At 36.1% G+C, this 25740-nt stretch overlaps 1 annotated feature.

The window, feature by feature from the left end:
- Positions 9262-10461: an enhancer, noted in NCBI's record as "MED14-independent group 3 enhancer chr2:36214716-36215915 (GRCh37/hg19 assembly coordinates)". NCBI's record gives its function as "activates an origin of replication core promoter dependent on BRD2, BRD4, P300/CBP and CDK7 cofactors, and independent of MED14, by STARR-seq in HCT116 cells {active_cell/tissue: HCT116}" and the evidence as "EXISTENCE:reporter gene assay evidence [ECO:0000049][PMID:35650434]".

Genomic DNA, 25740 nt, shown 5'->3' on the forward strand with positions numbered 1-25740 from the left:
AACCTGAAGTGTTTTTTACTTTTTCTGTTTATGGGATAATTTTTCTATGTAAAAATGTAGATTTTATGAAGACAGAAAATTTTTCTTTTATTAAACCCTATTTCCAATGCTCAAAATATAATGGATGCTCGAAATACATGTAATGAATGGGTGGCAAACAGTTATGCTAAACTTAACACACCCAAGATCCTTTCGTACATTTTTTTTGAACATGGACTATTTCTAAAGAAATTTAAAGGTAATTCTATCATACAGACTCGGAAATTTAAAAATCAATGTGAGACTGTTCCTTAAGACACCTTCATGGACAAACCATAAAACGTCATCTTCTTCACTTTTATGTTACCCTTATGCAACATCCAGTCTCAGTTAAGATTCTTTCTTAGATGGTTAAAAACAAATTAAAATCTAAAGCAGAACATTAACTTGTAGATGTAGGAGAAAATTAGAATTCGACCATTAGAAATATGAAGTCTCAGAAACCTAAAAGATTTTCCCAATGCCATGAAGTTAACAGAAGCTAACTTTTTAAAAATACTTTTTACTGTTTTATCTCTTCTGTGTTACAAGTTCTGCGAAAACTAAGCCTTTACCTATTCAGTTGACTGATTGATTGCTTACAGCACCTTCAAGAGTCCTGACACATAGTAGATACTCAGTAAATATTTGTGGTTGCTGATGAATGGATGAACTCTTGTGACCTTCAGCCAAATGGTCTTCCATAAGATATGACGTATTGTTATATTTAACCATGATGGGCATTTACTTAATTAAATCAATTATTTCATTTAAAAACCTGAAGAAAAAATAATTTATCGTATTATAAATAAGCCCCAAGTTATCGGCATCTAATTAAGACACAATATCCACATATAAAAAGAAAATCCCATCTTTAGTAATTAATTGACTCAACCCTCATAAAATGACATATGAGAAACACAAAGCTTTACATTTTCTTTAATTTATACAAGAGTAGATTTATGAGATCAAATACTACTAATGAACGTCCTTGGGGCATATCAAATAATAACCTGTCTTCAGTGTATTTCAATGGTCATAAAACTTGTGCTCATTGTCTTGCTAAAAGAACAACTGCTTTGCCAAAGGATTTGATGACAAGAGACAATTTTATGAAAGCAAAACAGAGCAAGTATTATATCTTCAAAGGTGAGCTGTTTCCAGAAGTATAAATCAGGGGATTTTTGCGTGGACTGGAGACACATGAGTTACAGAGAAGCACAGGGAAGGAAGGTGGTCCACCTAAATGGTTATAGGGTCTGATAGATAAATGAGTAAAAAAGGATACCAGAAGAATACATGTTTTACCTAAAAAAGGATACCACAAGAATACATGTTTTCTATTCAGCAAGAAAAAACATGGCCCTACCATAGCCAGATCTTTCAATTTTTTCAAAAGAAGTTAAAATTTCTGATTTTGTAAAAATATGAAATCAGTTGTGTTATAAATATCATATAAGCCAAACAAAATTGAGGGTTAGACTGAATATGAATGTGAGAGAAGAAATAATCATACAGAAAAAAGAAGTTGGATGTACAGATAATATAGGGAGAAAAATAATTACTTTTTAAAATTTAGCTAACATAAGTGGAAAGATAAGAAAATCATTGTATCCATAAAAAATGCTATTAAATTATTTTTTAAAAAATGAAAGAACTTTGAAATGAAAAACATAACAGTCAAAATGTAAAATTAATTGTGTGGAAAAATCACTTGAAAGAATGGGGGTTAAAGTCAAAATAGTCTTTCAGGCATTATAACAAAAAGGCAATCAGAGAGAAAAAAATAAGAGAATTAGAGGATCATTCAAGGATGTCTTTCCTCCATATTACAGGAGTTTCAGAAAAAGAAAAGTGTGAAAATGGAAGGGAAGACCTTGTCAAATCAATAGTACAGAATAATTTCCCCAAAGTGTTGGAAATTAATTTCTAGTTTGAAGGGACCACCAAATGCCCAATGGAATACATTTTTAAAGATCCACATTTCATTGTAAAACTTCAGAAGCTAGGGAATAAAACCTCTTAATATTTTCAAGTGGACTTCAGTAGCCCTTCAATGCAGAACTATGGCTTATAAACAATGAGACATCAGAATGATGTCAGGTTTCTCAACTGCAATCCTAAATCCTAAAATGGTCTCAATGCTTTCAAAATTCTATGGGAAACTGATTTTCAAGCTAGGATTCTAAACAAAGTCAAACTATCAATAATTATGGCAAAATTGTCATTTTCACACAAATATTTAGTAACATACTTTCTATGCTATTTTAAATCAAGAAACAAGGATATATATAATACAAGAAATAGGAGATTCAACACAAAAAAATGATGTTCTAAAACAACAAATGTACTATAGTCTTGGAGAGGAATTAGTTCAGTCGGGAGCAGGAGAAGAAAGGTTAAAGGAGAAGGAAGTCTCTGGTACAGATGTGAGGAGTGCAAAGTGTTTTCTGTGTTAGTGCACTTTGTTTTGCAGGATGAGTGAGAGAGAGAGAAGCAGAGAGACGGAGATAGAGAGAGAGAGGAGGAGGAGGAAGAGAAAAAGAAAAGGAGGAGGGAAGACAGAGGAGTTGAGGTTATTCACAAGGAAGTTATGATAATTATGAATGTGGGGATCTATGCTGAGGAAAGATACAAGTGGAGACCATGAGTTGTCATACAGAGCAAATGGAAAATTCTGTCTTGAATCTTCAACTCTGTCTCCTAAATTTTAAACTGATTCCCTATCACTTTATTTGCGTATTTACTTGAGTACTCTGCGGGTCCCTAAGCAGAATTTCCAAAAAGGAAGCCATCATTGTCCCCAGATGTTTTCCTCATGTAATCCCTCTTGAAATTAATGGTTTATAGTCCAGAACCAGGAAGTTATGATTATTTTCCTGCAACTGAAACATATTATTTCCAAAGTACATTATTTCCTTTCCATCTTCCCAGACATTGCCTTAAAGTTCTCATCAATCTTTACTGATCTCTTATAATAGCCTCCAATCATTTCCCCTGCTCCTAATTTCTCACTCTTTCAATATATCCTCTACACTGATTTTATTATTCCCCAGAAGAAACCATTTAATAGTTTCTTGTTCCCATAGAATAATGCTCATCATGGCTAGTAAAATATTTAAAGAGAATTTCAATCTATCTTTGAAGCTTCATTTCCTATTGTTCCAATCCCCCTAAATGACTTGACATTACCTAATGTACTTTTTCTCAGATCCCTGTCTAATTAAAATACCCCAAAAGTGAGTAGGGCTGGAAAAATGATTCAGAAAATGATCCATTCATTCTTAGCTATAAAAAATCAATGTGAATGATTCATTCATTAAATCATTGTACTGATGGTTATTTTCTAACTATATGTATTTCTCACAGCAGCTCTGGATTTTGGGATTATTATTATCATTTTACAGGTGAAGAAAATTATTCTCATGGGATTTAGTCAATTTGATCAAGATCTTGAAGCAGTAAATGACACAGGGCCCATATTAACCAAAATTCTAGGTAAATTAAAAGCCTATTTTTCAGAGATGGCATGACCTTATATATAGAAAATCCTAAGGAATCCACTAATAAACACTTTAGCAAAGTTGCAAGATGCATCAAATATACAAAAATAGTTTATACACTAGTATTGAATAAATCTGAAAATAAAATAATAAAATATTCCATTTACAGTAGCATCAAAAATTAAAATATTTAGGAACAAATTTAACAGAAAAAGTTCAAGGTTTGTACACTGAAAACTAAAATAACATTATTGAAATGAATTAAAGAAGACCAAATAAATGGAAAGGCATTCCATGTTCATGAAAATATTTCACATTATAAAGATAGCAATATTCCTCAACTTTTTCTGCAGATTCAATGCAATCTCTATCAAAACCCTAGCTGCCTCTGTTTGCAGAAATTGGCAAGATGATATTAAAATTCATATGGAAATGCAAAGGACTCAGAACAGTCAAAACAATTTTGAAAAAGAACAAAGTTAGAGAACTCAAACTTTAAGATTTTAAACTTACTACAGAGTTACCATAATCAAGACAGAGTGGTATAGACATAAGGATAGACATAGACCAATAAATCAATGGAACAGAATTTAGTTTCAGAAATAAACCCTCACATTTATGGCCAACTGATTTTCAACAGAAGGGCCAAGACAATTCAATATGAAAAGAATAATCTTTTTAATAGATATTGCTGGTACATTGCCAAATGCAGAAGAATCAATTACCACTACCCTCATACCACATACAAAAATTAACTCAAAATAGATCAAAGACCTAAATGTAAGAACTATAAAACTCTTAAAAGAAAACAAAGGCATAAATCCTTGGCCTTGGGTTAGGCAATGGGGTTTCTTAAATATGACCCCAAAAGCATAAGCAACAAAAGACAAATAAATTGTATTTCATCAAAAGCAAAAGCTTTTGTACTCCAAAGGATACTATTAAGAAAGTAAAAAGATAGCCCACAGAATTGGAGATAATATTTGCAGGTCATATATTTCATTTGGGACATAAATGCAGAATATAAAAAGAACACTTGTAACTCAATAATGAAAGGACAGATAACCCCATTTTTAAAAAAGCAAAGAATTTGAATAGCCAATTTTCTAAATAAGATTTACAAATGGTCTATAAGTACATGAAAAGTTGTTTAAAATCATTAGTCATGAGGAAAATGGAAATCAAAACCACAATGAGATACAACTTCACACTTGCTAGGACAGCTATAATAAAAAAAAAAAAAGTAGAAAATAACATGTGTATGAGATTGAGGAGAAATTGAAACCTTCCGTATTTCGCATTTTTTCATTGTTGATTTACATTGCTGATGGGAATGTAAAACGGTATGGCTGTTTTGGGAAACAGTTTAGCAATTTCTCAGAAAGTTAAACATAGAATTACCATATGACCCAGAAATTCCACTAGTAGGTATATATCCAAGACATTCAAAAACATAAAATCACACAAAAAGCTTTACATATTAGTAATGCTATTCATAATGGTCAAAAGATTAAAATAACCCAAATGTCAATGATGAATGGATACACAAAATGTGGTATAACCTATATAACTGCCCATTGAAATTACTGAAGTACTGATAATGCTACAATAAGGGTGACACTTGAAAACATTATGCTAACTGAAAAAAGCTAGACACAAAAGGCCATGTATTGTATGATCCCATTTCTATGAAATGTCCAGAATAGCAAATCCATAGAGACAAAAAGTAGATTAGTGGTTGCCAGAGGCTTGGAGGTGGGAGATGAGAAACAGGGAGTGATTTGTAAGAGGTTTCTTTTTGGGGTGATATAAAGTGTTCTGGGCCAGGCGTGGTGGTTCACGCCTGTAATCCCAGCACTTTGGGAGGTGGAGGCAGGAGGATTACTTGAGGTCAGGAGTTTGAGACCAGCCTGGCCAACATGCTGAAAACCCATCTCTGCTAAAAATAGAAAGAAAAAAAAAATTAGCCGGGCGTGGTGGCGGGTGCCTGTAATCTGAGCTACTCTGGAGGCTGAGACAATGAGAATCCTTTGAACCCGGGAGGTGCAGGTTGCTGTGGGCCGAGATCACGCCATTGCACTCCAGCCTGGGAGACAAGAGTGAAACTCCATCTCAAAAAAAAAAAAAAAAAAAACTGTTCTGCAACTACATAATGGTGACGGTTGTACAACTTTGTGAATATACTTAAAATCAGCAAATTGTATAATTTAATAGCGTTAATTTTATGGTATGTGAATTATGTTTTCAGTTTCAAAAAAAATGGTTATTTGGTTCAGATATGACCATCATTCACCAAAGAGCCAAATATTTAAGACCAAAAACTAGAACTTTGCTGGAGATTTCTAAGGCGGCAGAAATCAGGAAAATAAAATAGTTTTTAGCATTTAACTTTAATCAAAGCAAACAAAAGATTTGCCTCTACTTTCAGAGTTCAAAAGTGCACCAAGCAGAGGGAATGTCCATGAGAGAATGGAACAATAGGAAATAGGACAGTTGTTTAGTATGCTGGGAGTGTGAGATGCATACAGGGGAGTGATGGGTAATATTTGGGAAAATATAGACAAGGGTCTATTATGATAGGATAAGGAAATAAACCAAGTAGTTCTAAAACTAGCATTACTAAAAGTCAGCTGAGAAAATTTTGAAAACTGTGCACTTTCCTCGTTGCTATCACTGCAGAGCTGCTGATTTTATACATATCAAAGGGTCCATAAATACGTGATTCCGGGTGATTCTAATGTGTATCCAGGTTCCGCAAATGCTCTGGTAGGCAATGTCTGTAATGAAAGTCCTGGTAAGTACTGAGGAGGTTCTGAATTAAAGCAGTAGTAATGAAGGTATAAAGGAAAGAAAAGATTAGAAGGACATTAGAGAGGCTTAGGAAAATTCATTTCACAAACTCATTCTTTCAACATATTTTTATTAAATGAGTACCTGCTCTGTAGGAAGCAAAGGGTCTAAAATGGCAAAATCAATCCTCACAGAGCTTTTAATCTATTTGACAAAATATAGGATTACAAAAGAGGAAGAATATAAGTGATAATGTTAGGCTTTCTAGAAAGACTGGCTGAATAAGTGGTTGATGTTGGCACCATTCATCAGAATGGGTAATATAATGATAGTAGCAGCAAGCCTCTGTGTGCCAGATAGGGACTTTACCCATATTCACTGATATTGAATGAGTGCCTCATAGTGGCCATATCTGAATCATCATCCCTGTTTTAGAGTTGTGCAAACTCTGGCGCCGGGAGGGAAGCCCACTGCCTCATGTGCTACACCAGGGGTTGAGGAGATGGAGCCACATTTGAACAAGTTCTGGCTCTAGAGAGAGCCAATAGTGAAGTCAATGCTCTGCTGGGCCAAAATCTCATTTTTGTTGGATTACCCCACCCCTAACTCCCATCACCAGAGTCCTCAATATTTATTCCAGAGATGACACTCTTCATTTGAGGTCTACAGATGAGTTTCAGGAGGCCCATGAATCCTTGAAATGGAATGGAAATTGTACAGGCGTGTGTGGGCTTACTTGCATTCTTCTTGGAGAGAGATTCCATAGCTTCAGTAAAATGAGTCTATATCCAAAAATGTTTAAAAATCTATATTTTGGCACCCATTTAGCCCATTTCATCACATGTATGAAGAAATTTGTAGGAGAAAGCTCCCTGTGCATGAGTCTCGTCATGATGCTTTAGCCTGGAAGCCCCTCCTCTCCCACCCTCCTTCCTAGCTCTCTCAGGAACGCATTGCAAAGCAAGATACCAAGTCTTTCTGCATGGTGCATCCAACCTTAATGCCACAACTGAGGCCTTCCAATACAGAGAAAAGCATGGGTCTGTTCCTTTGCCACCCTCTTTAATACTAAAGTTTTTTCTTGTCTTTAAACAAATTACTACTAAATTTCATGAATGTACTAACATGTCTAAAAGTGACTTTTCTGAGCCACTTGTCTCACATCTTGCCTACTTGCTTTGCTCTCCTGCAAAGTGTATCTGACCACAGTTCCCATTGACTTCAAAGAGAGCTCTCCCCATGAAGGAGCACCACAGGTTGAGGGGACCACATCAGTTGGTCCTGGAGTATTTCTGTGGTGTCTGCTTTACCTAGGAGAGGCATGTTTCTTCTAATAGTAGCCCAGTCTTTCAAGATAAAGTTCTAATTTCAGAACATTTTCCAGTTAGGTTTAATTTTTAAAGAACGTTTCATAGTAATTGTATTAGGCTGTTCTCATATTGCTATCAAGAAATACTTGAGACCATGTAATTTATAAAGAAAGAGGTTTAATTGACTCAGTTCTGCAGGGCGTACAGGAAGCATGATGTTGGCATCTGCTTGACTTCTGGGAAGGCCTCAGGTAACTTAGAATCATGGCAGAAGGTAAAGGGGGAGTAGGCACTTCACATGGCCGTACCAGGAGCAAGAGAGCAGGGGGAGGTGCCATACACTTTTAAGCAACCAGATCTCATGAGAACACAGTCACTGTCATGAGAACAGCACCAAGGAGATGGTGCTAAACCATTCATGAGAAATCCACCCCACGATCCAATCACCTCCCTCCAGGCCCCACGTCCAACATTCGGAATTACAATCCGACATGAGATTTGGGTGGGGACGCTCCAAACTATATCAGTAGTTTTTCAAAAGCAGTATCTAATGTTGCTGCATATCTTGGGAGTTGGGGGAAAGAAGGAAGAGAGAGACATTTTAAAGGCCAGCTTGGTATTAGAGCATTTTTTTTAAATGTGGCTAATGAGCCACCAGTATTAGAACCACCAAGGATTCCTGTTAAAAACTACAGATTTCGGCTCGATACAGTGGCTCACACCTGAAGTTTAAGCTACTTGGGAGACAGAGGTAGGAGAACTGCTTGAGCCCAGGAACCCAGGAGTACAAGGCTGCAGTGTGTTATGATTGCACCACTGCACTCCACCCTGGGTAACAGAGTGAGACCCTGTCTCTAAAAACAACACAACAACAACAAACAAACACACACACACACACACACACACACACACACACACACACAAATGTTCTGAACTGAGCTCTTCATTGTTAACAAGCTCTCCAGAGATTCTTGTGCAATCTGGAAGTGGCCTAAATGGCTGAGGAATATCAGAAACTAGATTTCATAGTGGAGTACTGAAATTGTGGGATGCTCTATCATATTTCTAGAGGTTGTTCAGCCAAACAGCTAGTTTCCTTTAATTCCTATACAACCTCAAGGGCAGACAGATTGATGCAGACTAGAGGCAGGCACTGGGTGGTCCCCTATTGCCACAGGGCTTTCAGAGTCACTAACTAAATCCCACCTTGAAGCAAATGCTGTGGGTTGGAGAGCTCCAGCTTACACTTTCTCACAGTGCTGACTTCCTTGCAGCAGGTTTAGCAGTGTAAGCTTTGCAAGCCAAGAGGCTCTATTGGGGTAAACATATTTCAAGAGCTTATGAGAAAAAAGATTTCAAGGGCATAGAGATGAAAGAAAGAATTGTTTTTAAATCTCCCCTCCTTGTGTCATTTCACTCCCAACTATTTACCCTGGACTGAACTCAAAAGTGAAAGTGGGGAAGAAAGACCCAGCTACCAAAACTGAACAATCTGGGTAGTTAAATAACTATGGAAATGCCCTCCCTTCCTTTGCCCAACTGCCAAATCTCACTTTGATCTCCTTAGTTTTCAGTCAATTCTTCAAATACCCTCCTAACTCAATCTTTTCGGTCCTCTGACTCTCTCAAAGGCTTAACCTCCAGCTCACCCCCAAATGCCCTCCTATCTTGCTCAATCCCAGAACCACCCACAATCTCCGTTTTAATGACTCATCCCAACAGGCACAATCTCCCACAGAGCCAACCTTTGGGCTCTGCTCATCCTCTCCAATGAACAGCAGGTGCAGAGTCCTCCTTTGTTCTTCGGTCTCCTGCAGCAATTAAGGAGAGAACTAAAGGGCCATTTGGTGAGTGGAATCGTGCTGGTCAGGAGCAAGCAAGCCTGAAGAGGGTGCTTACTTTTCTCTAATTTGCTTTGATAGAGCTGCCACAGGGCTGCATGTGTTACAGTCACAACACTCCTAATCATAACCAAATTCTAATTTTAAAAATAGCTAAATTCCATGAGGCTGGCCCTGTGTTAACTGCTTTAAATACAGCATGCCATTTAATCCTTTCAACCATCCAGTAAGTTGGACTCCATTATTTTCCCCATTTTAGAGATAAAAAAACTGAGGCTTAGAAGGGTTAAGTTACTCAGTTAAAATGTAATACAGATATTAATTGATGAAGCTGAGATTCAAATTCAGGACTTTGATTCCACAGTGCAAGCCCTTTAATAGGATTATGACAGTTTTGAATCCTATAGCATGGTTTTGCCTGCAAGTAACAAAATACCTTAGACAAGATGGGGTAGCTATTTCAGATTACAAGACTAAAGTCACATGTTTCCAGGATTAGCGAAGTCAAAGTCATAAGCTCTTCAGTGTCAGGGCATGGGTCATATTCTGTGCAATGTTCTCGCCTTTATCCTTAGGATCATAAGATGGCTACCATGTTGCCAAACATCATTTCTTCCTGCGAAAACATCCAAGGGCAGAAAATAAATGGGGAAGATGTCTCTTATTACATGTGTCTTTTTTTTTTTTTTTTTTTTTTGAGACAGAGTTTCACTCTTGTTGCCCAGGTTGGAGTGCAATTGTGCGATCTCGGCTCACCGCAACCTCTGCCTCCCAGGTTCAAGCGATTTTCCTGCCTCGGCCTCCCAAGTAGCTGGAATTACAGGCGTGCGCCACCACGCCCGGCTATTTTTGTATTTTTAGTAGAGACAGGGTATCTCCATGTTGGTCAGGCTGGTCTCGAACTCCCAACCTCAGGTGATCCAACCACCTCGGCCTCCCAAAGTGCTGGGATTACAGGCGTGAGCCACCGCGCCCAGACTACATGTGTCTATTTTGAACGAGAAGAAAAATATTTCCCAGAATTCCCCAAAAGACACTCCCTTCTAAGTCGCTGGTCAGAACTGAGTCACCTGCCCTACCCTTCCTTACGCAGTTGCTGGTGAAAGCGAATAGGATTATCTAGCCTTGTTTAAGTCTAACCGTGATTTACCCTATGCAGCCTGAAAAAGAGCCCACTTCCCCTGGGCACACTGCTGCTCACGTGAGTGCCTGAAAAAAATCTGTCAGCAGAGAATGAGAGGGCAAATGGTTATTCTGTATAGCAGTGCCTCCCACACATATTTTTCCATTTTGTCCCTTAACTCTCCTGGATAATCCAGATTTCCATTTGCTTATCCAGGTTGCTGAATCTCCTGTCCAGTATGAAAATGCACCATATATTCTATACGGGTTTAAGCAATGAAAAAAAAAATACTAAGTAAGAAAATTTTGGTGTATTTTGTTTATTTATTTATTTATTTATTTTGAGACAGAGTCTTGTTCTGTCATCCAGGCTGTACTACAGTGGCACAATCTCAGCTCACTGCACCCTCCATCCCCCAGGTTCAAGCAATTCTCCTACCTCAGCCACCTGAGTAGCTGGGATTACAGGCGCACACCACCTCTCCCGGTTAATTTTTGTATTTTTAGTAGAGACGAGGTTACACCATGTTGGTCAGGCTGGTCTTGAGCTCCTGACCTCAAGTGATCCACCTGCCTTGGCCTCCCAAAGTGCTGGGATTACAGCCATGAGCCACCATGCCTGATCAAATTTTAGTGTATTTTAATCAAATACAAAAATATGTGAGTCAAATGATAATGATAGGGCTATTATTCCCAAATAATTATCAGACTTAAAAAGGTCAAATTATCTTTCAACTTATAATATTCCTACGCTATGTCACATAATCCTCTTCCATAGCTCTTTACTGACGTTTCATAGAGCTTCTATTTTCTTTTATAAACTTCTTATGTCTCAAAATTTCTTCATCGTCTACCTCAGTTTTATATGAAAACATTTATGGATGAGAGAGGTTATAAATTTTTCTGTTTTTTTAATTGTCCAAATACTTCCACAAAAATAATGCTATTTTATGCTGTTTTCCAAGTTGGTACAATACCTTCACAAAATATAAATTGACCTGAATAATTGGAAGTTTATGTCATCAGGTAGTTTACCAAACTGAGACATTCTGATTCTAAATGTTGGGTAATTGGAAGCTTCTAAATAAGAAGGATATTTTATTAATGTGTAATTTCTTTTCTTTTCTATTTTATATAACAAATCTCTTCAACCCATTGGAATCACTTGGGAGTAGAGAAGCTTCTGTCATCTTGCGTCTCCCATAGCCCTGGCTCATACATACCATACATAGTGCTGCAGGTGCTTTTACCTTCTTGCTGCTCCTAGCAGTTAGTTCTTTCACATCTCCAAGTTGGCCTGCCTCAACTAATCCCCCATTTTGTTTTATTTTAAAACATCATTTAGAAGCCTTTTGAAACTTATCTGTTTTTAGAAAAGTACCACTCATTCTAAAGCATTCTTTCCACTCCAGAACTCACATAATTATATTTTCAGGTTAAAAATAATATTAGAATAATAGTGCCAACTTCTTCCATTTTATAAATTAGAAAACTTGGACCTGGATGAAGTGAGGCTGCTTGTTCACCATCATGCAGCTCCTTCAGAAGATCTTCTGCTCCACAAGCTAACAAGAATAGGGATGACAGAAGCAAATAGGACAGCTGGTGGGGGCATCAGTGAAAGGAAAGAGTAGAAGGTCTAGGAGTCCTGGGGCGGGGCAGAGGAGAACTTCCATCTAAGGGCCAAAGAAGTGGGGTGGCGTGGACTTAATGTTTCCTTGTCCTTGACTATAGACCCTCCTCTCACCAACTTGCAAATAACTCCCCTCCAAGAAGAGTTCCATGCTTTTGACCATGACCATCCCTAATTCAGTGCTGCTAGGCAATCCATTACTAAATTCTGCAGGGTAAACAACATTGTTTTCTGCAAAACTCATCTCAAGAGAAATAAACCTATAAATGAGATTGCATTACTTGTGTCTGTTAATTGCAAGTGACTGAAACTCATATTTCAATTGTGCATTAAGCAATGAGGCTCAGATAACCAAAAATGTTACCCGGATTCTTGCTCACCATCCATTGTCTCTACTTTTCATAGTGATATGCCAGCCTCATTATTTCATAGTGATGATGAACTTGGTAAGAACACTCGCTGGCCTCACTGGCAAAAGGAGAATTGGCCCCTACTATCCCTAGTTCCCCAAGCCCAGTGTGAGTCATGGGCCTATTCTTCCACCAGAAAAAAAAAAAAAATAATGCAGGAGAAGAGAATTACCTGGGATCCACAAGACCTCAGCAGCTGCCATGTCCCTCCTGGATGGGAGCAGGGGAAGACCTTCTTAGTAGGTGGGAAGGTGCTGAGCAAATAAATTATTAATTGTCCACTACAAGCTTGTGTTTGGGAGGCAGTGATAAAAGTGTTCTACTCAGTAAATATTTCTTTAACCTAAAGGGAATATAATGGTATTTCAGGGCTTTATAATATATAAGTATAGATAAATAGATGTCAGATAACCAATAACTGGTAAGAAATCTGATATAGGGAACCAAAAATAACAAATATAAAGTAACAAAATCAGTACTCATAAGAATATCCTATTGATCTCAGCACAGACATGTCATGTTTTAATTAAAATTGTGACATTTGCTTTGAATACCTATAGGAGGTCATCATTTAAATAAATATATATACATAGTTGTATTTAGATTTGTTGTGTTTAATTGCGTTTAGATTAACTTAGTTGCATTTGACAGAACCTTCCAATATTTTAAATAGGGATACACACTCACACATGTATACTTACAAATTATAAATATATAAAATTTATTTTACAAGTATTAAAATCCCAATTCAAAGTAACTTAAACAAAAAAAGAAGTCTGTCTATATGTTTTCATCATAAATAGCAGTAAGTCCTGCAGATAGTTGCAGCTCCATCAGAGAGTGGTTTGAGTTTTTCCTGACTGCTTTGGATTCTGATTGATAAAGAAATGCATTTGTCTCCCTCCTTCTCGTGATTGGATATTACTAATTTTTTAAAAACTTTTATTTTGATTAAATTAGTTTTAAGTTATAAATTTTTCTATTAGTTATATTTAACATGTCTTCATATAGTTATTGTTTAAATTTTCTGTTCTGGAATTGCCTGTACATACAATTTGCCCATTTCTCTATTTAATGGTGTGACTTTTTCTTACTTTTAGGGAATAACTTTAATTTATCAGAATTGAACCTTTGCCTGTTATTTTATTGCAAATATATTCTTGCTATGTTTGTTGTATGTTATCTCTGGCAATCCAAACTTTATTTTTATCTGCTCAAATCTATTATATTTGCCTTTATGATATGTTTAAATTATTTATAACCAAAAATTATTCAAAATATTCTTGTGTGGTTTATTCTGATAAATCATATTTTATTTTTCTAATGAGGTTTTTCATTCATCTGGAATTTACTTTTATATTATTTAAGTTGAATATCAAACTTTATTTCCTTCTAAATTGATACTCAAAAAATATTTATCAAATAATATTTATCAAATATTATCAGTCAAATAGTCAAAAAAGTATTTATCAAATAAGCCATTCTTTTCTCTGCAGAATGGAATAGAATCTCTAGCATATATTTAATTCTCATGTATACTCAAGCTTATCTGGGGCCCTCTGTTCAACTCTGTTGCTCTACTTGCTCATTCCTCTTTTTAATCAGTACATTTGTTGACAGTTTTAATATCTGGGGTAGGACAAATCCCCTTCTATTACATATCTTTTTCAGTATTTTCTTAGCAATGTTATACATGGTTCTTTAACATGGCATTTGATATCCATGTTTGTCTCTACAGTTTTCCCCCCTCTCTTTACCCTTCTGCTCTGTATGTTGGGATTCTGACATCTGTGGACTGTTTCACCCTGAATCTCTTGCCTCTTGTTTCCATTCAAGTTTGGCCAATGAGAGGCACTGACAGAAAATTGAAGGGCAGACATGTTATTTGTTCCCTCAGTTCCTTCCCAGCAGGGCTACCAGTCCCTCCTGGCTTCCTTCCTGTAGGCCACAGTTCTCCAGTGATCCTCTCCTGCAACTGTGGTTGGAATTCTGGTTGCAACTTCCTCTCCTGCCCCCGTTAGGCCTGGGAATGGTAATGTGAGAGCCAAGTGGCTTCACTGTCTCCTGTGGGTCCCTCTTCACCCTCTCCAAACCTTTGTAAATCATCCCTTTATTAAACTTTCCTTAGTTACTCCATTTTAATGTGCCATCTGTTTTCTGCCAAGAAGCTAATGATATCTAGGGAACTGTAGAAATGAACTCAGGAGGTACCACTGGGATTATTATAGGAATACATTAAATGTATGTAATAATTTGGGAGCATTTCTATGTTTGTTAGTGCATATTCCCCTTGAGAGCATGGTCACTTCTCATTTTTTCTTCAATGAATGTTTTTTAAGCAGTTTTTTTTTTTAATTCATGTTAGTTTATTTCTGGGAAGTTTATGAACAATGTTGCTATTAAGATTAGAATAATTTTGAAAATTTCCATTCTAACATGTTTCCGTCACTATAAAGGAAAGCCATTAAGTTATATATTTATTATGTATCTAAGTAATTTACTGTATTCTCTTATCGTTTATAATTGACTTTTTTTCTAACTCGTCATAATCTAGGTTTACAAACAACTCGTATGAAAATCATGATAATTTTATTTCTTGTTTCCAAAGGTTGGTACCATTTACTTTATTCTTTTGTTATGTAGCATGACCTATAAATGCAAAATAAAATTGAGAATAGTTATTTTTAGGAATGATTACACTCTTGTATTCGGTTTTATCATTGGTGACTGGTATTTTATCATTCATTAGGGTTTATTTTCCTTTTTTCTGTAAAACAATTCTTACCATTGTTATTCCCAATTTATTTTTGTTCTTAAAATCGGTTATTTTAATTCAATTATTTACCATAGTCTATCGCTACTGAGATGTTTTCTCTTTAGGATTTAACATTAGATCTTAATTTTGAAACATTTTGGCATCTCTGGAATAAACTCTATTTGGCCACAACATATTATTATTATTACTTTAGAACACTGGTGAATTCTATTTTCTAAAATTATAATCAGGATATTTCACTCTATATTCACAGGTGACCTAAATTTTATGCTATTCGTTCAAGCTTTTATTCTATTTATATTTATATTGAAAAGTGATATGTTTGCTTTCATTTCTATCTTGTTTTATGTTAATTTTTAGTATACTCCTTTTTTCTTGTGTTTTTCTACTTTTACGGGTTTAATCAAATTATTGTTGTGTTCTGTTTATTTTGATTTGTATTTAAATTGTCCCCTATCAACAATTTGAAAATAGTAAAATGTGTTTAACTTTCTTATTAAAACCCATACTTCTCTGTTTTGTTGAAAATAATAACACTTTGATCATTCCCCATAATGAGAGAATCTTAATATTTTACTTTCCCACTCCCTTGCACCATTTCTAAATCCTAGATTTTTTCAAATTACTTTAGAAATTTAATTTCATATTAAGTTTTTCCTTAGCGTATGCCTCTTCTCTTCTTTGTGTGTTTAACACCAACATTACATTTTGCAATCACTTTATCCTCACCCACATAAGCTCACCTACATACTTTCCTGGATTCACTGCTCACTACCTATTTATGGTATTCTTTATATTCTACTTGTTTTAGATCTGTATTTAAATTTACTATTATTTATGCTGGGGTATATCCTTAAGTAATTTTGAATGGAAAAATAAGTAGAATACTTTGAGTTTCTATGTATCCTGGAAATTTATATGAATGATAACCTTTCAGAAAGTAGAATTTTATACCACAGTGCTTTCTCCCTCACAAGTTTATAAATGTTATTCCACTAGCTTTGAGTGTGGCATATAAGAAGTCAACATCAAACTTGTTTCTTTCCCATTATATGTAAACTTCTCTAACTGTCTGAGAAATATATATATTTTTCTCTATCCACAGAGGCCAGAAATTTTGCAAATATACGTCTAGTTGTGGATCTTTTCATCCCCTCTGCATGGCATTTAGTCAGCCCTTTTGATCTTTTTTTTCAGATCTGGAAGCTGAAGATTATTGCTTTGATTATTGATTCCATTTCCATCTGCTCCTTTTGCTGCTTGGAATGCCGATGATAATTTGCATGTTATTTCTCCAGGGCTGTCCTCCGTGTCTCTTATCTTTTCAGTCATGATTTACATCTCTTAGGATTTCTCCTTTGTGTTGAAACATGGTTTTGCCATTTAATCTTCTGATCACAAACCCAGATTTTCACAGTATTGATTCCGTTTCCACTTTTCCTGGTGCAGCTTCTCCAGGTGGAGACACCTGCTTCAGCTTTCCAGCTATGTCTCCTTCCAGAGCTTTCTTAGCCTGCTCCTGTTACAAATGAGAGTCTCTGCAGCACACGCTTTCATCCCAGCTCTTCTGCAGTGGTGGACTGTCAGGCAGTGAAAGATACAAGAGTGTCTCCACCAGCAGATGGAAGCTGACAGGGCTGAACGGCATCCTTTAAACTGAGGCTTAGCCCAGAGTCTTCTCCAGTGTAGAGAACCATCCTTTCCCAGCTCCATGGAAAAGGAATAATTCTGCCCTACCTGCTCATTGCCCTCAGACAATTGGTGTCAGCAGGAAAAACATTTATTCTGGGGATGCACATAGCAAGAGGACAGATCTGTTCCTCTGTCTGCATTAGCTGGGGCGCTCCACCTGAATTAACTGTGAGTCAGAGGTTCTCACCATGGGCTTTCCAAAGAGTCAGTGCCACATTAAATGACTCAATCATCTTAGCACTGACAACAGTGGTGCCTTGAACTTGTATCTTCTCATCAGTGAATCTGGCCATACGTAACATTTACTGTCTCATCCAGATTTGTCATTTCTAGAGCAGATTTAGGCTAGTACTTTAGGGACCTAATAGCAGGAAGGTCATAAGGGTATATGATCAGGCCATTTTCACACATTAATGTTAATCTTTATTGTTTGGGGGAGGACTTCTTTCTCACTAAAACGTTATTCATTTTGTACAAAGTTCAAACATTTGAGAAATATACAGTGTACTAATAGGAACATTGTATATTTAGAATATTCTCATTGCTATAATCGCACATTCCCATCCTACTCTACCCACCCCACTTCCAAATCACCATTAACGATTTGATATGATTTTTCTTAAGGTTATTTTTCTATGCATCTACTATTATAATAAGGATAAAATTTATAGTCAAAAGTTTAAATATATGAAATAAAAATGAGTTATCTTTACTTTTATAATGAATTCGTATCTAGCTCTGAAACCTCAGCCTACCTAATGTACTGTGATCAATTTCAGGATTAAATATACTGATTTCCTGATGGACTCAGGTTTATGATTCAGTCACATGCTAGCTTATGGTTTATTCCCAGGTTTTTCTCTGCCTCCACTGTTCTCTCACTTATTCTGTGTTCTTATGGGTTTGCGAGCTTGCTGCCCAATAGGGTTAGTAAGAAGGAAGAGATCATTCTTTAGACTGGAGCCATTGTTAGGCAGCAGGACTCTGCAGATCTGTCACTCACATCTGCCCCCACATTTCCTAGAGCTTCCTCAGCTTTCAGCCCAGCTGGTGTTTTCTGCGTAGGGCTTCTTTGGAGATTTCCACCACATAGGCTGACAATCCATGAAGTGGGCTGTCTGCTCCTCACTGCTGCTATGATTTTACCCTCACACTATGATTCTGCAAATTCTTCGCAGGCCTCCTGGTCCTTCCTCTCTGTTACTTCTATATCTCACTCAGGAACAATTTAACTCTCTCTACTCCTTGTAGAAGCCAAAGGAAATGCTCTCCTATATCCTTTTTCTCCTATCTCCACAGCCAAAGAGCCATTTCTTCTGTTCTTTCATACCTTATTGTCCTTGAATACTTCAACTAGCTTCCCCCTTAAAGAATTACCTACAGGCTTCCTTACTCTTAGATCCTCTCAAACAACAAGGGGAAATCTGGTTTTCTTCTGTCTCCACTCCCATTGTGTGTGTGTGTGTGTGTGTGTGTGTGTGTGTGTGTGTGTGTGTATGTGTGTGTGTGAATGTCCATTAGTGGGGTAGAAGGCAGGAAAAAGCAACAAACTTAAACACTCCATTTTATCCCAATTCTCCCTCCTTCTTTGCCAAAGTCAGCTACCCTCTTTTCATGCTTTACCAACGCATCTTTCCTTTCACACTAGGAAAGAAGAACAAAACTAATAGTTGCCATAACAAATTATGGGCATCAAAATATTAGTCTATCACAAATTAAAACCTTACATAGCAATAAAACATACCAACACTTTATTGTTGCACTCTCAGATATGCAAAGATTCCAGTATACATAAGCTTTTTCCCTCACCCAAATTACACAAATATTGCATGGAATGTACTAAACAATTCTTCATAGTTTATTTGAAATTCAAATGTATCTGGGTATCCTGTATTTTATCTGGAATCTCTCAATAGTCCCTTATAAATGAATAGGCTCTTGACCAGCCTGCATTCTCATTCATCTGTATATTACCCTGTGGGATAAAACACGCACAGTGCCAGCTTTTCTTCTCTATGCTCCATTGTCTTCAGAATTCTAATTTGGTAATTCAGCATTTGGTTGGTTGGTTGGTTTTCAGTACCTTCAAGCAAATTTTCAAAATATATTTTATCTATTATCCACTTGGTCTCAGAGAGAGGGTTGACATTGAATTGCCTATCATATCTAGAAAACATGGGTTCCCTTGTTTATTTCTAAACCTGTTCCATACTGTGATCTACAAGGTGTCAAAGTGTTGCTACCCATGTGACCTCAGGAGTTATATTTTTGAACAAAACAATCATCCTAGAAACAAAGTAAAGTAGTAGGCCCAGCCCCAGGCACTGTACTGGCTGTGAGGGCTTCTCATTAAGGGAGGGTACCTCCAAGGACATAGTGTGTATGGCAGCCGATCTCAGAGGGATAAGTCACCTCCGGACTACTTCTAGCTCTTCTATTAAGCACTGAAACTTTGACCTCCAGAAAATCAATAAATCTTCTTCTCTCCTCCTCCCAAAATGTTTCACTAAACTTGAGAATTTGAGGACTCCTCCAGTTTCTGGTAAAGTATGGATTTTTCCGAAAAGACTGAACTGCTCTAGTGAAACCGAGGCTCCAAGCTGCACTCTACACACACAAATGGTTCCATCCAGAGTCCTGCTGATATATGCTATAGAGTCAAGGTGGGCAACCTCCCACTTGATCATACATCCTTCAGGTAACGTTAGACATTCAGCCACAGAAACAAAGGGATTGTTATAAAGCCATGTTCAATTCCAAAGTATGCCCTGTAAACTGCTATCTAATGTTAACAGACTGGTAACATTTCAAGGGTATGTTTTAACCACAGCTCCTTTACAATAAGATCATATTATACATTCTATGTTGCAATTTGATTTCATATCTTTGTGAAATCTTATGTACATACATATAGTCCTGTCTTATTCCTTTTAACATATGAAATGTTTAATTGCATTAATATGCCATAGTTTGACATTATGTTAAAATTCAAAATTGACAAAGTTTTTCTTATAGTCTTATAAAAAAAATCTTACTACATATATTTAATTTGATAGAATAATGTAACTGAGAAAAATGGTTTGTTTCTTCTAGTCTCTCAAATTAATATCTGGGCATATTTAAGCATTAGCAGACCAGCGGCAGCTTTATCAGCATTTATCCTGAAATTACATCCCAGTCATATTGCAAACCTGCACAGGCTACATGGCTCTGGGAGCCAGAGGGTTGTTCATTATTGTTTTCCTTGTCCCTAGTCGGCCTTCTTCACATTCCCTGTGGCAGCTACTCTAAGACGCTATGATCCCTTTTAAGCCTGCTTTCCCAGCTCTTCACACTAAGTTCTCAATATTGCCTTGTGTTCCACAGGGAAAACAGAAATATTTGAGCAGAACCCTCACCTTACTTTACTGCAACCTCTGACTGGCTTGAAACATTCTCATCCTTTTTGCTAGTGTCCTGTCTGAGCAAAAGTACTTGTCTTCTCCACCTGAACTCTATGAGATGGTCAGATGCCGCAAGAGAATTCAAATAAATGTGTAGATACCCAGTCGATAAACTACATGTAAAGTTAACATGAGTGCCTGGCCTGGAAGGCCTGAAATGGAAGAAAACTGCACATGGAGAGGAGAAAGGGGGGAAAGATAAACAATATATTAACAACACTACCCCGAAAATAACAGGACTTCCTGATATTAAAGAGTGAAATAAAGTTGGAGAATTCAAGCAGAGATCTCCTTCAGTGCCTAATAATACTTAACATTCTGAATGACAAGGGTGTGTGATATTAGCTGTGATTTTATAGAACTGAGACAATAAGAGGACTTCTCAAACAACAGAAAAAAAAAATTTTGTCCTTATTAAGCCCAAACCACAGATTACTTGTTCCAATATTAAAGATTATTTCTCCTTTTAAATGAGTACATGTATGATGTGAAATGTTCTTTAAAAGACATTGCAATTATCCAAATAAAGCACAGCGATACATTTTGGAAAATGTAGCCACACATCACAAGGTTATACACATTTCTCAACATACAGATTATATGTTACAGTATTTAAATATTAAGGGACCGGAATCCACTACTCTTTGTGGATCCTTAGGGAGCCTGTGTGAGGAGTTATTTGGGCTTGGCAGTCAAGAAAAAGTGCTTTGAAGTTAAGCAAACCTGGATTCTAATCCCAACTAGACCACTTGTACAACCTTCTACAGATTACTGAAATGACTTATAAGTACTTTTCCAAGCCATGGTTTTCTCCTGCATAAATAGGGCTGAGAACATCTACCTCATAGCATTGGCGTTATGAAGATGAAATAAGCTCATATAGACCACATAGCTCAGCATATAATTCCATTAATAAATAGTAGCTATTATGATTAGTATCATTAGAAATAATTATTTAAAACTAACATCAGTTGCATATACATGGTTTAAGTGTGTTCCGATATGTTTTAAAAGTTTGTTTAAATTTAACTCAGTTTCTGAAATACTAACTAGGCTATGACTTCCTTTATTTACTAAATGTAAAATGTATTTAAGTGGGATCAGACTAAAATACACATTTTATTTATGCGTATTTGATGATGAAGATTTATAACTTCATATGTGTATTGCTATACATGTATTGCTATTATACATGAGGAAATACCACGATATAGAAGCAGAGAGCCTGGGAAGCCCCAGAGGTTAGCAGCAGAAGATAAGTGGAGCTAGAGAGAGAATAGTAGCACCTTAGAATAGCACAAGCTGTGATGATGCTCCAGGAACATGCATTTGAAGGCAGTTATGTTTCCTCTAATTTTGTTTTACTTTTTCATGCTTGCCATCCCTGAAAATATTATTAAAAAAACTAATAAGGCTTTCTAAATGACTGGTGTTGGTAAGTAGTCAAATATTTAGAGGCCAACGGTCTTTAATCACCTAAGTGCTTTTCTATGAATACTGATGTGACAAAGGTTCATATTTAATTGATTCCAAAGTGACTCTATGCTAAGTAATGGTTCACTAAAGAATTTGAGAGCCTAGTTACTACCAATTAAAAAGTACACATCTTCTTCTATGTCAGAGTTGTTACCAGACGTGTCAGAGCAAGTCACCAGGTCAACAAGACAAGGTGGACAGAAGTAGTAAACATAAGCATGTCTGTATGCATTTGTGCAGCTGTGGGAGGAAAGATGGAGAAGCAGCGACTTCCAATTATTTTTAAAATTTGTCTTATAGATCTAAGTAAATTTCCTTTGAAAGGCCCTAGTTGACTTCATCAAAATGTTACATTTTGAGGATTAAATACAAGAAAGCCAGCGTAATCTAAGTTTACCAATTACTGATACTAGAAATAAATGTTTTGTTGCAGCATAATGAATCCGAACAAGGCCTGTGTAGTCCTCTAATCTTGCTAAAGGGCACATATATATTTCAGATATTCATAAATATTTCCTCTACTATTAGCACTTTTTATTATTGCAAGAGCTAAATGTAAATCTCAGAAGCTCTATTCCATTAATGTGTAAAATTACCATCTTCTCACATCGACCTATCACTGCAATCATTATTCTAACCAGAAGCATGCTAGAATGGTTTGAAAGCCAGAAGAGAGTAATCAGTGATTTAAATCACTTGTCCTATTACCTATTCACAGAAACCACCAAGAGAAGTTAGTTGACTTTTAGGAGAATCAGAGCAGCTGGAAAGAAAGATAAGGAGACAGGAAGTTGTGGTGAATGCCTATTTTCACTGAGCTTTTCTGTGAAGTTTAATGAAAAGAATGTTGTATTCTTTAAAGACATTTTAATTCCATTTTCATAAAGGTGGAGGAGAGTATGTATGATGCCATTTCTTTAACAAATACTGTATTTATGATAAATATTAAATTCAGCCAACGTTGCCAAGTAATCATCCACCTAGGTAATGCATTACTATTATGTTTAGCAAAGTCCTTCATATATGAATTTAAATTATCTTAAATCACACAGCTGTTGTATGTTTCACATTTAATTATTGCTTTGATGATTATAGTAAAGAAAGGCTCTCCTCTTATACCTCCCCAGACACATATAAATAAACATAAGCATGGGAATATATATAGGCATGTCAGAAGAACACTAATATACTTTAAAAGTTTAGTTTTGCTGTTTACAGATGAGTACAGTAGCTTTTTGAAGTGCATTCTTCTAAAAAAGACAATTCTTCAACCCATCCCAAATAGCAATTAAACTTTTGAGGACTAATGACATGAAGAAAACAGTCACTCTCTTTAGTTTTCCTAAATGTTTTAACTAAATGGAAAAAAAAATAAGTGACGGTTTGGTCAGTTAAAACTTTTAAAAAATTATTTCTTTGTTGAGAAAGATGTTATTATTTTATTCAATATATAGGTTTCATGGACCTAAGACGTGCTGCATAATATTCTCAACATTGTAAAAGGTAATAAAGCTGTCAGCTCTAAGGAACCTCATCATTTGTTGAGAAAAATTAAAAATGAAATAATTCAAGAACAACAGAAACCGTAATATCAGGCACCAAAATAATTGCAAATGTTTCACAATTATAAAAAGGGAGCGCTTACCATGAAAATTCAGTATGTTAGAAGTCTTTAAGGAGAAGGCTGGGTTTTAATGATTTCCTAAAAGAGATTTAGGATTAGAAAGGAAGAAAAGATGGCATGCTTTCCTTTCTCAAGATTACTATTTTTGTTGAATATTTTCTATTTTCCCTTCAAATATACATTCACAATATCATATTCTAGTATAAACCAGAAACAATATACTCTTGATATCTGAAAGAGATATACTGGAGAACTTTTTAATCTTCAATCCACAAATGCTGCACTACTGTAAGATGTTTCCCCATAAAATAAAGTAAAATTGATTAAGTATTTCAAGTTGCCCTTTCTGTACCTTTATAAGATTTACTGTATAGAAGAAAACTTTGAGAAACACTGCAATTGGGAGTACTGGATTCTCTTTCTGGCTCAGAGAAGGGGACACATTCATAGAACGACCTCACCAAGATGACAAATGATGGACCTTTGGGTTACTCAACAGTTTAGAAAAATCTCTCTCCTAAGGGTTTGCACTATAATCGACGGTGAAAAAATTAATGTGCACATCTGAATCATGCCTGGAGCTTTTCAAAAATACAGATGCTGCATATGCCCTCTTGCACATTCTGAGGAGGACCGAGACATTTGCATTTTTTTAAAGATTTTTTAATTGAGACTGTGTCTGGCTCTGACACCCAGTCTGGAATGCAGTGGTGCAATCACAGCTCACTGCAGCCTTGATCCTCCCATCCTAGCTTCCTAAGTAGCTGGAACTACAAGTACACACCACCATACCTGACGAATTATTTTAGTTTTTGTAGAGATGAGGTCTCGCTATGTTTCTCAGGCTGGTCTCCAACTCCTGGGTTTAACTGATCCTTGTACCTCGGCCTCCCAAAGTGCTGGGATGACAGGTGTGAGCCACTGCATTCAGCCTTCAAAGTTTTATAAAGGGATTCTGATGTTCACCTACTAGAACCACCTACTAAAACCACCTACACAGGTTGAGCATTCCTAATCCAAAAACCCAGAATCCGAATGTTCCAAAATCTGAATTTGTTTCATGCAGAAAATTATTTAAAATGTTAATATTAATAAAATTATCCTCAGGCTATGTGTGTAAGGTTCATATGAAACGTAAATAAATTTTGTGTTTAGGTTTGGGTCTCATCCCCTGAGATATCTCATTAGGTACATACAAATATTCCAAAATTTGAAAAAATCCCAAATGCTTCTGGTCCCAAGAATTTCAGATAAAGGATACTCAACCTGTACTAGAAAAGTGATCTGCCCAAATTGTCTCATTAAATCATATTAAAAATAGGTGTCTCAGAAGTATATGCAAGAGAAAATTCTGATGAGTAATTAACCCCATTCTGACATGTCAGAATTTCCTCTTGCATATCCTTCTGAAACACAAATCACTTTAAATATCTGCATTGAAACAGTTACTTGGTTATCAAAATCAGGACAATTAAATATCAAATGCTTCCCATAAGAGATGAGTAGGTATAAAATGTCTAGAAACCTCGGAGTTATGAGGTAGTCATGAAACTATTATTTCAGTCTTTAAGAATTGTTTTGTGTATACTCTGAACCAGTGTAGAAGACCATGTAGTGTTTTAGAGAGATAAGACAGCTTTATATTTACATTTATTCATCATCTGTAATCATATAGTGAATAAAACCAGCTCACAGAAGAGTATTTCAAAAAGAATTTGGGTGAAATTGTATTTATTTAGGCTAACCTTGTTTAAGGAGCCCAATTGTTGCTTCTTATATATTATAGAAGTTCACCTAAGTTAAATGCCCATCTCCTGCCAATCTTAGTAATACTCATTCACTTTCCCTCCGTGTTTATCCACAAGAAAATTACTTTATAAAAAATATGCTGCTGATTCTCTGAAAAATGAAAATCTGTTTCATTGGAAATATTAGTACAAGAAATTTCTCAGGAAGTCTATAAATTTTTTCTCAAAAAAATATGTTTTCTTGGAAAGGAATATTAAATATTTAAATATGTAAACTCTTTAAATATTAGCGGGTAACATTAATTGAAATTCAAAAACAAATAACTCAGGAAAAATTTTTATTAAATTGATGTA

Source organism: Homo sapiens, chromosome 2 (assembly GCF_000001405.40).
Source record: "Homo sapiens chromosome 2, GRCh38.p14 Primary Assembly".
Classification (NCBI taxonomy): Eukaryota; Metazoa; Chordata; class Mammalia; order Primates; family Hominidae; genus Homo; species Homo sapiens.